The sequence below is a fragment of the Homo sapiens genome, chromosome 6 (genome assembly GCF_000001405.40).
Source record: "Homo sapiens chromosome 6, GRCh38.p14 Primary Assembly".
Lineage (NCBI taxonomy): Eukaryota > Metazoa > Chordata > Mammalia > Primates > Hominidae > Homo > Homo sapiens.
Window position 1 is genome coordinate 25,621,525 of NC_000006.12, and position 15,301 is coordinate 25,636,825.

The 15,301-nt window shown below is 44.0% G+C and overlaps 2 annotated features.

The window, feature by feature from the left end:
- Window positions 5,399-5,949: an enhancer, noted in NCBI's record as "OCT4-NANOG hESC enhancer chr6:25627151-25627701 (GRCh37/hg19 assembly coordinates)". NCBI's record gives its function as "activates a minimal SCP1, AML or CMV promoter by ChIP-STARR-seq in primed H9 embryonic stem cells {active_cell/tissue: H9 hESC(primed)}" and the evidence as "EXISTENCE:reporter gene assay evidence [ECO:0000049][PMID:30033119]".
- Window positions 14,115-14,616: an enhancer, noted in NCBI's record as "NANOG hESC enhancer chr6:25635867-25636368 (GRCh37/hg19 assembly coordinates)". NCBI's record gives its function as "activates a minimal SCP1, AML or CMV promoter by ChIP-STARR-seq in primed H9 embryonic stem cells {active_cell/tissue: H9 hESC(primed)}" and the evidence as "EXISTENCE:reporter gene assay evidence [ECO:0000049][PMID:30033119]".

Consider the following 15,301-nt stretch of genomic DNA (forward strand, 5'->3'; position numbering starts at 1 on the left):
AGATAGTGAATAGCCTTGGTGCTTTATTATGGAGTTGGATCCTGATGCTATGCAGTAGGAGCCATTGCATTTTTTAAAGCAATAATGTAATCAGAGCTAAGATTATAAAGATAAACCCTATAGACTAAAGGCAGGCATCCAGTGAAGTGGCTGAGCAAGGATTCGTCATCATTTTCCCTCTCCTTGTAGTGGTCAAGAGGTCCACTCAGATGCTCCTTCAAGAGAACTTCAAGAGAACTTGGCTATGGAGAGCGTGTGGGGGCCGACCATGGCTAACAGCTTCCAGCTGCCACACCTTGAGACCCTCTACAGTGGTCTTGCTGTGGCTAGGCCACCCCCACTTTCCCTGCCAACCACCGAGGACGGCTGGTACACTAGAGCTGCCCAACACAGGACTCTACTGAGCAACTTTTGCTCTAGGGCCCTCCTCTGGCCTGGCCAAGGCTTTCTGAGAGCTGCGCAAAAGCTCTTCCTACCCACATCTCCTTTCTTCCTTCCCAATCTTCTTTTACAGGTGATCAACCTGAATATGATCTGAAGGCACTCCCTGCTACTGCTCCCTCCACTTTTATGCTTCACAGCCATTTCCCCCAATAAATAAATATTCTGCGGTCTAATCCCATCTGGGCACATGCTTCTTGGAGAACCTGAACTGACACACTTCTCCATATTCTGTCACCATCAATCAAGAATACATGCACTTTTGGAGGCCAAGGTGGGTGGATGAACTTTGAGGTAGGGAGTTTGAGACCAGCCTGGCCAACATGGTGAAACCCCACCTCTACTAAAAATACAAAAATTAGCCAGGCTTGGTGGTGGGTGCCTATAATCCCAGCTACTGAGGAGGCTGAGGAAGGAGACTCACTTGAACCTGAGAGGCGGAGGTTGCAGTGAGCTGAGATCACACCACTGCACGCCAGCCTGGATGACAAAGACTCCGTCTTAAAACAAAAAAGCACACACATGGAAAGGCAGCTTTACCATGTACATCTGAGCTGGTGGCTGGCAGATCTTTTCTCAAAATGTGTGGGCTTTTGTGTTTGTTTTGTGAATATATTAGAATTTGTGATATGTCCCTAAAAGAAAGATGCCCTTAAGGCAGAGGGGACTAACTGACTTCTCGAGGTCCTTTGGGATTTTGACACAACAGACACCACCTTGATTCTTGTTACCCTTGTAAAGTGTCAGTAGAAGTGAAGAGAACCATGCTTGCATCCGGGAACCCAGTGAAGCTAAGTGCTGGAGCAGCAATGGAGCCCATCAGGAGTTGTGGGTCCCAGAGAGCCCACTCGGACCAGCCAGATGGCGGTCGGGGGTGCCGCTCATGGAGCAAGGGTTGAAGCCTCCCAGAAAACCCCTAGAATACTAAACCACACATATTCCTTTTTCTGTTTGTGCCATGCACAAGGCCTAAATTAAGAATGAGAAGGATATACTAAGCAGGGGCCAAATAATCTAGGAATTGTTTGGTCACTTATTTTGGGGATGCATTCATTGTGCAGCTTTGGAACAGGCTGACTTTCCAATTTTATTTTTCTTTAACATTGGTCAGTGTGGGTCTACTAGCACAGGCCATTGGCCAGCAATTGATCAGGCATGTGTCAAGTGTTGGAGAGAACTCAATTGCAATTAAAAATTGGCAACTAAAAATCCCAGAAGAGGATAATGGACAGGTGGTTCAATTAGGAAGGGGCAAACAGCTTGCAGTGGGTAAGACATTCTCATGACTTTGACCCTGCCCTGTGTTGGCTCATTTCCCCAGGTGATCCAGTTCCTTTTGTTGACTATTCACTTTAACACTCCATTTGCAAAACAGCATTCCCAGAGAAAACAGTTTTTCAACTGAAGGGAAAACAGAATACTTTTTTTTTGCAGAGAAGAAATAAACGGATTGCAACAGGAAATCTCAGTAGGCAGGACAGCCCTGATTTTCAACTGAGACGTTACACCTGTTCTCAGTCCCAAGCATGAAAATCCTAAATTGAGGTGGCCTTGAAAAGATATTTCTGTTTATCACTTTTTTACTTGCTAGATTGAAAGCACTGCCCCAATGTGGCCCTGCAGTAGAAACGATGTGGCCTTTATTCATTCTCAGTCTCTCTTTTACGTTTTCCCTCAGGGCAAGAACATGAACCAATGCCTTCAATAGCTGTAGTGATGCTGGCCTTCATTTCTACTCCTTTAAAAGGTGCTAAGAAAACAGTAGAGGTTTCCTAGATGCTCACTGTTGTCACTGCCATGTTTAGGGTCCTGCTTTTCCTAAATTATTCCAAATAGAACCCTACCTTCCTAAATTCTTTAGCCCAGTACCCCACCCATTGGCCAAACTGCTAAAAACCAGAGCAAGGAGGCAAAGTAGGGAACACAAAGCAATGGAAGGAGGATAATTTTTTCTCTCCCTCTTTCTTGTGTTTTGATTTTTTATTTGTCTCTCCTGAGGTTTGACTGAATGAGGCAAAACTGTAACTAAATGCCATGCTTTGAGGCAGCCTGATCTCTCTTTCCCTCTGATGGTATAGGCTGGGCAAACTGTCTGCTCAATGAGCCACATCAATTAAACATCTCAGCCTTCTGTGACTCTTGGCTCACACACACCACACATCACAAAGCTGAGAGTAGGAGAAGGCTCCGTTCACTGAAATGGGCCATAATTTAATCTGCTGGTGCTATAGTTAAGGTGAGTTAAGACATGCAGACATAGGAGAATGGGGGAATTCAGCTTCTGTGCAAATGGTTATCATTGGCCCAAAGCCAAGGTAGTCTGCCTGGGTTTTGAAATGTTGATCACTGTGTGCCACTGCCACCAAAGTCACTAAGTCTCAAAATGTAAGGCAAAGCTTTTGAGATGTATAGATTGCATCTCAGGATTTCTTAGTCTGAGGTCAGATTGTATGTTATTTCATAATCACAACTTAAATGTATAGCTTCTTTTCCTTTTTAGGGCAACTTAATAGAGATTAAGTCTCTTAGTCACACTTGAAAATCTATCTCATGAATTAGAAACTCTCCCTAGTCAGAGATTTCTTGAAATCAGTAGAAACAAAATGTGTTTTCTCCAAGGGGACTGTCCTTGCTGTTATTGGGTGGTGGCACATTTGAATAAGACCAGGGTAATCCATTTATACTTTCCAATTACAGTTTGTATTAGGTTTAACTCAAAGTGAAGCCATCACTTACACTGTGTACACACAGCTTACACTGGGGCCTGTTTCGTGCATCCACACCACTGCTTTGAGGATTAGGCACAATTTTGCACCTCCCGTGACATACAGTGATCATGAGGTCTCTTCTGACAGTAAGAGCAGACACTTAACCGTAGTTTCTGGAGGTGTGAAGAAAAGAATTATCTCAAAGACAGAAGCATTGTCAGGGTAGAGGCCACTTCAGGTTGCCTACAATGTGATCAGAGGGGCCTGGATGCAGAAAAACCACTGCTGGGAAGATGTGCTTGAGCTTCTAGACATTGAATCCCTGCAGAGAATTCAGACATGAACTGCACAGGGATTCTTCCATGCAGGAGTGTCCTTACCCATGGCAGTAAGGACATGGAAGAAGGGCCCTAGGTCTAGGTCCTGTGGAATGGGAGGTGTCAATGCAGGCAGAAGCTCATCTTGGGGACATTCCTAGACTGTTCCCAAAGCGTCAACAGGTCTCCCATGCTTTTCCCTCAGGTCCTCAGAGGAGGGGGAGAAAAGGCAGGCTGCTTCCCACATACTGAGAGCAAAGAATTCAAGTAGACATTTGACCCTTTGGCCTGACCAGCCCTCACTGAAGCCTGTCCTCTCTGTGATCAAGTCATTTCGGGTCTGGCTCATGATGCACCTTCTCATTTCCCCAGGTGAACTTATTCCCTTCTAAGGCTACAATTCCCACCTTTGCAGTGATGTCTCCCTCGTCTTTTGCTTTAGCTCTGTCTCTATGCAGTATCATTAGGGTGACCCATGGGTATCAGATAATTCATGAGTGTGGGGTGACCATACTCCATGCCTAGAAATGAGATAATTCAATTTTATGACACTTGGAGAGATCTCCAGGGCTCATAAGACTCAACTCTCACTGGAGATAGAGGACCAGAACCCCCATGCCTTTACATTTCTACAGAACAGAGACAGACTTTGCCCAAAGGTCACTGAGCTAGTTTGCTCTTACTCTATCCCAGGCACCCTGTTGGAGCCTTCATTGCCTACAATGACTAGGTGTGAGGGAAGGGAGGACCACTTGCAAATAAGAATATGATTTGCTGGCCTAAACCACTGGGCTCCAGATGGGCACTTCCCAGCTGAAGCCAGCACTACTGTGGCTCAGGTACACTCAGCAGAGGAGACCAGCTCCTCTACCTGCTACTAATTTTCAAAGCTCTAGACAGGGTGCGTATCCTGCATACCATGGGCTGGGGAGAATGCTGGGCATCTGTCTGTGAGCTTGAATTGTGAAAGAAAAAATGATTTCTTTATTTTCATTAGCCTCCTTTGCAATTTAGCATTTCTTTCAGTTATGAATATGTGCAGCAAACTATAATAGTATTAACAGTGCCTGGGAAAATGGAAATCATAAACATTTTTAGATCAGTTTCCAACCACTGCAGATATTGTGATACATTATCCCACTCACCACTACTTCAAAATTACAGTACTTATAAGACCCTCTGATACATTGTGTTATGTAAAGAATTAATAAAGCAGTGCATTAACTTCTAAATCAAAGTTTGTTTTAAAATATTCTAATAATTGTATTTTCAATATTATTAGTTTCCTGTGTAATACCCTGTATTCTACTTTATTAGTATAAAATATTTATGATGAGAAGGGATCCTGAGACTTCATCAGACTACCAAAAAGATGATGGTCCAAGCAAGGTTAGAAACCGATTCTAAGAGCTGCCACCCCAGGCCCAGCAGGGCAGAACAGGAGTACTTTTTTGCAAACGAACTGGAAAAGGCTCTTCTTGTGGATACATATTCCTTTCTGTTGTCTTCCAAGCTGTTTCCTATCCTCCTGTACCATATGTACCCCTGAGGATTATCTTCAATGGGTCTTGGAAATGTATAAAAATTGTCAATACCTATGAGGAGAAAATGATTCCAAAATTGGAACTGGATCTCAAACTTCATTGCCAGGCATCATCTTCATGGCTGGTGGGGAGGGAGTGTGAAGTGGGCTCAGCTATGTGTGCCTTCAGCCCCTGTTGAGACACAGGGAGAGAGATGGCTTTCCTTCACCACGGTGAATGGTTACAGGACTTTGTCTTCCAAGAGAGGGCCCAGGAGGCTGTTTTAAATGTAAGTTTTATTAGTATTCAGGTATAGTGAGGTCAACAGATCAAGAGACAACAACTATTGAAAAGATCTCCAGTTCCTCATAGTTCCCAGGAAAACAGGGCACACCATACCATGCAGGGCCACATGGAGAAGCAGCAGGTTTGGTCAGGAGGCAGTGGGAGCTAGAGGGAAATGTGAGCAAGTGCTTTTATTGTGTTTCCCTTGAGAAAGAATGGGCAAGGTCAGGTAACCAGGCTTAGGATTGGCTAGCTTGAATATTTCAGAAGGTTCAGGGTAGAGCAACTGTCCTGCATTGTCTAGTACCTGGCCTTGGTGTGATTACAGTGGGGAATAGTAGCCTGGAGTGTGAGAGCCTACTTCCACTTAGAGGAGGTTGTGGGATGGGGAGGTGCTGGATTGGTTAGTTTGCATATGAAAGGCATGCTTCCAGGTGATTCATTTACTATCTCTGAGAAGCAGCGGCTCCCTTTAGGCAGCCTATTCCCTTTAGGGTCAGCAAAGCCCCAAGATACAGAATTACAGAAAATTGGATAGGCACTTTGAGAGGCTGAGGCGGGCCAGATCGCTTGAGGCTGGGAGTTCAAGACCAGCCTGGCCAATATGGCAAAACCCCGTCTCTAATAAAAACACAAAAATTAGCTGGGCACAGTGGCGCACACCTGTAATCCCAGCTAATCGGGAGGCTGAGGCACAAGAATTTGCTTGAACCCAGGAGGCAGAGGTTGCCGTGAGCCGAGATCACACCACTGTACTACAGAGGCAACAGAGTGAGGCTCCATCTCAAAAAAGAAAAAAAGAATTACAGAAAATCAAAAGGAGTAAATAATAGAGGCCACCTAGCATTCCTGGCTGAAGTGATGGTGCATTCTGGGGAGAAGATGTGCCCTTGCAGTCTCTTAGGTGAGTAAATTAATATCCATTAGTAGAGACCTGAGCCATGACAAATGCAGGACCTGCAGAGCCTCATGTTCAGATGGAAATTGGTCTTTTGAGCATCTTCCCAGCACCCTGGCCTCTTCCTGCCCTCCACCATACCACTTACCTCCTGAGGGTGGAAAAGAAGCTCAGCTTTGCTGGCTTTTTGGGTCCCAGGTGCCTCTGAGGCCTGAGCAGAGGGTTAGAAACCAACACCCTTGAGTGCCTTTGGGTCTGAGGGCAACCTTATGGTCCAGAACTGGCTGGCCCAAAGAAGACTTTGGGGTTGACCATGTTTGGTCCGTTGAAGAAGGAAAAGCAATTGATCTAATCTTATGGCTACAGGAACACCCACTCTAGGGGTATCACTGTGCAAATGGCTTATTCCGAATAGGCCTTGCAAACCACTCCAACCTTCTAATAACTTAAAAAAGATGCTCCAACCTTCTAATAACTTAAAAAAGAAACCTGTGTCACTAATGAGTTTAATTGAAACAGGGGGGAGAGATTTTAAAAAGTTCTGGGGGCATGAACATGTTAATGAGATTGATTATTCTTAGAAAAGGCAAAAGGAAGAAACTTCCTCTCCCTAAATCTAATTTCATTTAATTGAATTATGGGAAGAAGTTGGCTCTCCAATCACTGCTGAAAGGCAAACAAAGCAAGACCCTGAAGTTAGTGAGGGGATGTCAGTGCAGCCCAGATGCCTGGGACTGCCCGTGTTATTAGCATTCACTCATAGGGAGCCCCAATGGCAGCAATTGACACAAGCTAAGCAGCAAAAATCCCATATGCCATGTGAGCTTCTTGCAAGTTTTACACTAGCATGCTGCTTTTGAAATTCCAGGTGTTCAGGCTACAAGGAACAAGGCTGAGTGTCCACCAGTGCTGAGATTTCCCCTTCGATGGTAGACAAGACTGGGGCCATTGTTACTATGACAAGATGCGCTGTGGATTAAAGGGGAGGAAAACAATGTGCCTTATTGTCTCATTCCCTTTCCTGGAGAAGCCCAAAGAACCACACAAGACATCTGAAGACTGAAGGGACAGCCATCATTCAATCACAGCATTAGACTTTGCATGTCTATGACCCAATCTGTTTCAATGATTCCCCCAGCCATAGTTCCACTGCATCTGGCTTTGAAGCATATTCCCTCTCCCTTTCCCTGACTCCTGAGAATACCTCAAATACAAATCAAGCTTTTTGCCAGTTACGGTTTCTCATTTTGTTAGCTTGTTCAATATTTGTTGAGCACCTATTATGTACCAGGAAATGGTCTGAGTGTTGGTCTCCTAAGACCAAATCCCCATCCTTTGGCTCATGGAGCTTTGACTCATGGAGATGAGAGAACATAAACAAATTAGTGAATGACATAATTTCACAAATGCTCTGCACAGCAAGGGACGAAGGCAATGGCTGGGACAACAATTTGGATATGAAAGGGCTTTTCTTTTCTACTCTAGTGTTTTCTATTAATTTATGCTCCCCAACTGTGGTGGACACTGGGATGCACCACTCAGATCTCCCTTTAGGAATAACGAATTTGTAAATTCAGCTGCCGCTGGCAGATGACTTCAGCTGTCAGCTCCCTGAGGGATTTGCCTTGGCTGAGAGCCAACTAGCTCAAGGTCACACCGCTTTCCCTGGCAGTTTATCTAATACCTAATCAATGCAGAAACATGAAAGTCCGGCCCCTCACCTCAACTCAGGATGGCTGTGAAAGGTCAACCCATCTTCAGAACTCAGGTAGGCTGAGGCCTCCATTGGGACAGCATCACAGCTCAACTTTCCCTTTGCCCAATCCTGCCTCCTTTCTTTCCTTCCCATCCACAGTTGTTGATTTCAAGATCACCCATAACAACCCTCTCGCACACCAGTCTCCATCTCAGAGCTAGCTTTCTGGTGAACCCAACCTGTGAAAACTTTGAAAAAATGAATTTAAAGAGGTTGAAATTTATGTTGAACTTATATAACAGGATATATTTGTAGTTAATATTCAACATTCATTGGATAGGCTTCAACAAGGCTTTGCGAACTCCTGGTACACCTGGGTTCCTCCCCTGCAAACACGGGCATCCAGTACCTTTTCCCAGGATGGCATTGGGGGACCTGAGGAGCCTGCTCTTCTTATTCAGACTCTTGGCGTTTCCTGGCCTGAGTCAGGGTGCACTTTTTGGAGAAGGTCTTCTTCTAAAGCCTCCTTGGTGAGCAAATGGATTTTCCATTAGCAGATGCTGCATAGGTTAGGTTTTGGAAACATCCAGGAGTTCCCTTTCACCTTCTCATCAGTGCTGCTGCCATCTCTTTGACACTCTCTAAGAGGTGGGCAGTGCTCTCTTCATTAAATGTTAGCAAATATTTACAGAGCATCTGCTATATGCCAAACACCAGCCTATGAACCTCCCTTCTCCCTGGAAACCACACCTGGTCCAGCATTACCAGAGACCTGTCCAACCAGGGAACCACCCCAAAGAACGTGATAAACCTGTCCAGAGCTGCTGGAGTTGGTTGAAGGTTCTTAACCCCTCAGCTCGAGTTTGCCATTTTGTTTCTTTCTATGTCATCATTTTTTTCTCTGTTGGCCACAGTAGCTTCCTGTTCTCAATGGGTCCTCCGTTAGCCTCTATCCCTCAGTTTTCCTGCTACTCTCTATGATATATGCCAATATGATGGTTTTAACAATTAAAAGTTTCTGGCTATTGTGAAATGTTTTCCAATGCACTATTATCCACAATTTTCAGGTGAAGAAACAGAAAGAGAATGGTTAGGGCCTTCTGAATGTCCTCCAGAAAGATGGAGAAGATGATAATAGGAATAGGAAACATCTGAACTTTGGTTATGTACCTGGCACCTTATATGCTTTCTCACTTATTTAATCCTCAGAGCAACCCTGGGAAGTAGGTAGTATTATCACCTCTATTTAAAAATCACGAATTTGAAGCTCAGAGAAGTTGAGTAACTTATCCAAGGTCACACAGCTCATGACCCATGCAGTCTATTGCCAAAACCACTCACTCTTAAGCACCATGTTATGCCAGTCCATCTCCTGATTGCCAGTCCAGAGTTGTGGGAAGCAAAGGATGAAGCAGTTGGGAGTGACAGAAAAGTGCACAGTCAGGTAAGTCCCAAGGTTTACCTCACTGCACTTATTTGTAAAGGGCATCCTGTCTCCTGCCAGAAAAAAAGCCCTTTCTCGCTGGTGTCCTGGCACTAAGTACACTCTAAATGATCACAGCCCAGCCTCCTCCAGCATTTCCTCTGTAATGAGAAATCCCACTGGGAGAGGTGGAGTGAGGAAGGGCTCAAGCAGAAGAGGGGTTATTTCCTTACAATCAGGAGCCCCATGGGCCCAGGGCAGCTAAGCTGGTAAAAGCACTGATTGTAGCTTTAGTATCGATCTCATGCAGAGAAGGGACATTGATTAGCTTACAACTTCTTCACAAAGAAAAGTAGAGAAGTGGCTGGTGCATTTAATGCGTGTAGGTGGCATCAAAGGAGTCCTATACTTTCTTCTACTCTACCCCCCAAGGCTTGGCCTCATCTCCCTTTGTGATTAAGTCCAGAGAGCTGGGGAATGTCAAGGCTGGTAAGCCTAGATTGTTTCATAAAGTGCTTTTTATGGAGACTTGGAGAAAATGTTTCAAATGTCTGTCCTCTCTTTAAAAAATAAAAGTTAAAAGCCCAGTGTAGAGAGTTTTGCTTGACTCTCCAGATACACACTCAGTGGGGATTAAGTGAGCAGGAAAGTAGGGGAAGGAAGGACTGGACCATGTTGCTGGAGCACCCTGGGTGCATGGCTCCTGTCCCTTTGCTGGTGCAGGGACTGTGCAGGCTAGCTTTTGGGAACTGGAAGAAGTAACTTGGCTTTTCTTCCACAACATGGAAGGTGTCCAGAGCAAAGCTGGGCATCAAGACAGGTGTATGTGTCCAGTGGCTCTGCCACCTGCCCTCAGCATGGGCTGTGTTCTGTGCTCCGGCAGCCGGTGGTGCAGAGTGGCTGATCTTTGCCTGGTGGAGCCATTGAATGTTGGCTTTTCTCCTTGCTGAGAGTGTGGCTGTCATAAGATGGGGAAAGAAGGGAGGAAGGACAAGGTGTGTGATGCACAGTCCTGAATTCAGAGGGTTTAAGGGGTAGGGATGCCAGAAGGGAACAGGGACATATGCAGAGACCATAGACTGCCCCTGTCCTGCAAGTGCAAAAGAGGGATGACTAGGGAAGCAGACTCCATACTAGGAGTGGCTAATGGACTTCTGCAAGTTATTTAAATCCACAGGTAAGTTCCTCCATCTGGAAACCGGGAATAATGACTGCTTGTCTCTTAAGGTTGCAGTGAAAATTGAATATAAATTTATGAAAAGTGCCTGGCACATTGTAAGTGTTCAAAAAATAATAACTACTACTTAGAAAAGAGAGAAAGCTGCGTACTCACCCAAGCAAATTGTTTGCCTACCCAAGGATCGTTCATCATTTTGGAAAATCACTTCATGAATGGCAATATTGTTCATGATAGTTGAGTGACCAACATAAAACACCAATTCAGTCTGTATTTTGTAAATGTCACATTTATGGGGATTCTACACAGGCTGAAGCCCCTGACTACTTGATCATGTCTTCTTGTGTAGCTGTGCATGTAGTTACATGTTATGGTTTATATTATTATGAATTAGTTTCATTTACATTACAGCCAAGACATTATTTTATTGCTTTTTAAAAAGTACTTTATTGAGATATAATTCACACACCATACAATTTACCCACTTAAAGTATACAACTCAATGGTTTTTAGTATAGTCACAATTGTGCATCCATTACCACAATCAGTTTTAGAATCCTTTCATTACACCCTTCAAAAAAATCCTGCTCGGTCAGCCGGGCGCGGTGGCTCACACCTGTATCACAGCACTATGGGGGACCGAGGTAGGCAGATCACCTGAGGTCAGGAGTTCAAGACTAGCCTGGCCAACGTGGTGAAACCCTGTCTCTACTAAAAATACAAAAATTAGCTGGGCTTGGTGGCAGGTGCCTGTAATCCCAGCTACTTGGGAGGCTGACGCAGGAGAATCGCTTGAACCCAGGAGGCAGAGGTTCCAGTGAGCCGAGATCGTGCCATTGCACTCCAGCCTGGGGGACAAAAGTGAGACTTCGTCTCAAAAAAAAAAAAAAAAAATCCTGCTTTCCTTAGATTTCACCCTCAGTCCCTCCATCCCCCAGCTCTAGGCAACCACTAATCTACTTTCCATCTCTATGGATCTGCCTATTCTGGATATTTCATATAAATTGAACCACATGGTATATTGTTCTTTGTGACTGGTTTCATTCACTCAACATAATGTTTTCAAGAGTCTTCTATGTTGTAGCATGTATCAATATTTCATTCATTTTTTATTGCTGAATAATATTCCACTGTATGAATAGACTATATGTATCCATCATCCAGTTGATAATGTTTGGGCGTTTCCACTTTTTAGCTATTATGAGTAATGCCACTATAAACATTTGTGTACAAGTTTTTATGTAGATATTATTGCTTTTTTAAGAAAAGCAAGTACTAGGCCAGGTGCAGTGGCTCATGCCTGTAATCCCAGTACTTTGGGAGACCGAGGTGGGAGGATCGCTTGAGCTCAGAAGTTTGAGACCAGCCTGGACAACATGGCAAAATCCCATTTCCACAAAAAATAAAAATTAGCCAGGCATGGTGGTATGCACCTGTAGCCCCAGCTACTTGGGAGGCTGAGGTGGGAGGATTTCTTGAGCCCAGGAAGTTGAGGCTACAGTGAGCCATGATCCTGCCACTACACTCCGGTCTGGGCAACAGAGTGAGACCCTGTCTCAAAAAACAAAAACAAAACAAACGAACAAACAAAACCCAAGTACTATACATAAGATTAGTTTTCAGGCCCGGTGTGATGGCTTATGCCTGTAATCCAAGCACTTTGGGAGGCCAAGGAAGGCGGATCATGAGGTCAGGAGGTTGAGACCAGCCTGGCCAACATAGTGAAACCCTGTATCTACTAAAAAAACAAAAACTAGCTGGGTGTGGTGGCACGCACCTGTAGTCCCAGCTACTTGGGAGGCTGAGGCTGAAAAATCGCTTGAACCTGGGAGACAGAGGTTGCAGTGAGCCGAGATCACGCCACTGCAGTCCAGCCTGGGTGACAGAGCGAGACTCCATCTCAAAAAAAAAAAAAAAAAGAAAAAAAAAGAAAAGAAACTAGTTTTCAATGATTTTTTTTCAGGGTAGTAAAGAAGACGTTACAAGATATTTATTATAAAAAGGGGCCTTGGGTCTGATGGGACTGAAAACTGCTACTTTAGCAAAAAGAAAACAAGCTTTGACTTCAGAAAGACCCAAGACTGAGCTCTAACTCTGCTACATACTGACAGGAATTTTGAGGAAGTTACTTAAATGCTCTGAGTCCCAGTTGGCTCATCTCTAAAAACAGGAAAATTAATATCTACATCGCAAGACCATTTGGAGGATTCACAAGATAATGTGGGGAACATCTAGCACACTGTAGGTACTCAGCAAATGTGGTTCTGTTTCTCCAGCCACTTGACTTTGCATCTTCTCAACATGCAAGGGAGCATAGTCACTTCAATTGCTGGCCAGTGCAGCTCTTCCAGGTAAAAGACCTCTGCTAACTTCTTCCCATTGTGTAGAGAGAAGATTTTAATCTTCTCTAAAATTCATCTATATCCTCTCAGCTTCCAAAGACCTCCTCTGATCATCCTTTGTGAGATACCTGATTTGGTGACAGCATCATGATTCCCATATCCCTTCCTGTGATACAAACCAGGCTCTGTCCACCCAGAAGATGATGAGTAGGTTTTCGCTATATATTTAGGAGTGGAAGTCCTTCCTTCTCAGACTATACTTGTTTTTCCCTTCTCTGACTCTACACAGGTCCTGCTGTGTCTTTCTTAACCTGCAGCAATGTACAAAAAAGAACATTTTGATGTGCCAATATGTAAATGTGCTACTTTTGATTACCAACGAAGTAACACACCAAGCACATTCTGAACCTCAGCTCCTTCCATTCCCCATCCTGTACAGATGACATAGGATGCAAGGGTCAGAGCTGTGGCAAACATACTCCTTGTACTCAATACCTGGATATGTTATTAAAGTGGAACATATAAAATGTTTTATAGGTTACATCTAAGTGTGTGATGCATGAAAAAACTCTATTCTTGCACCAGACTCCATTCTCGCACCAGAGTCTCCATTCTTGCACCAGAGACTCCATTCTTTGACCTATGCAGCCAGCTGAAGGTCCCTGTAGTTCTGTTGACCATCTGCAAACATGGAAAAGCTTGGGTTTAGGCCACAACTATAGGGATCTGAGTGTTCTGAATTGGGACTGCTTAGATTTTTTTTTTTTATATATATAAAGCTTAATGTAGACCCAGCATGCCCCAGCATTTAGGACATTTTTCTCACCCACACTCATACTGAAGCCTGGAAATGAGCCATGCACACTCCCTCTGCTCCCATTCAGACAACAAAATTGAGCCACTCTGCTGGAAAAGCCCATCTTTCTTCCCAGCCCATAGGTTAAAGGGGCAACTCTAAACCTTCTCCCCTAAATGACTGGCATGAACATCTGACCCACAGGGGATCAGTCAGGTTCTTTCTCCAAATAATTTGGAAAAGTTTAAGAAGAGCTAGTTCAGGGGCTGGCAAACTATTGCCTATAGGCAAAATCTGGCAATGCTTGCTAGTTTAATAATGTCTGCGACTGTCAATAGTTGCAGGAGATATTTTATGGATCTCGGTAGCATAAAATATTGACTATCTGACTCTTTACAGACAAAGCTTTCCAACCCCAGAGCAAGAAGTTTACAGAGACTTGGAGGCTGAGACCACCATTTGGAGGCAGGAGGGCCGTGTGCACTCAGAATAGAAGAAACTGTGCTCAGAGACATGGAAGTGAGAGAGAGAGCATGAAGCAGCGAGTGCCAGGAGAAGCAGAAAAGAACCAGGCAGTTCAAAGAAAGGGCAGAAAGGGCCAGACAACCTTCCAGTGTCTGTGAGACACATCAACCTTGCTTGTGCTCTGCATCTGTGACTGTCCCATGTATACAATAAACCGTTTTTACCTAAACTAGTTTAAACGTGTTCCTGTTTTTTTCAACAAATGATTCCTGAAAAAATCAGCCATAGGGGCCATTATGTGGCTGCAATAAGCCTGAACCAATTAAGATCTTTGAGTCCACTGCTGATTCCCTTGATAAGTCCCAGAGGGAGTTAAGCTTAGAGAACAATGGTAGGCAATAAAAGGTGCTTGTTTCTAGGGACCTTTGGCTCTTAATCCATGGGTCCCCTGATCCTGGTGAGTCATGCTCATCCACATTTGAGTGAAAAGGGCCACTGCTGACCTTTAGCCTGAGGTCTGGACAAAGCAGACTGCACCCTCTTCCTCTGGGGCAGCAGCAAGCATCCAAGAGAGGTTTTCAGCAGAGGCTGCCTCTGGCCTCCCCAGCTGTCTGTCTGATGAGGAGTGTGCAGAAAATGGAGACCGAAGAATAAATCAAAAGGAACATGGGAAGATGAGCGTATTATTAGTTGGTTGAAGTTCTATGATAGTGGTATTTCTGTTTTCATGCTCTGGTTCTTTTTTAGAGAAAACAGTATGTTCTTATGGTGCCCATGCTTGGAAATGCATCATAACCCTCACTTATATCACATAATATAGAAAAAAACATGACAACAATTTCACAAAGTAATAAGATCACAGTGCTATATAGTGAGTAAATGGGAAGCTGGTCCAATAGCTAAGACACTGATGAGAATAATTAAAATGATCAAAACCTTCTTTTCTCACAAAACTAGAAGCCAGAAAAGAACATTTTAGCAATTCCAACTCTTAATACATAAAAATTTAAAAATATGATCATAAAGATAGTTAAAAGATAGATGACAAACTGGGAAAAATATTTGCAACTTATGTTACAGAAACTGGCCACTTCATTGTTTGTTTAAGTGCATAGTGTTACTATTTTCCTCGTCCTAGTGGAGTGACTTTCTTCCTACCTGTGAACAAATCACTATTAACTTTTCAAATTAATCACTACAGTGTTTAGGTATGATTTTAAATCTGGGAAG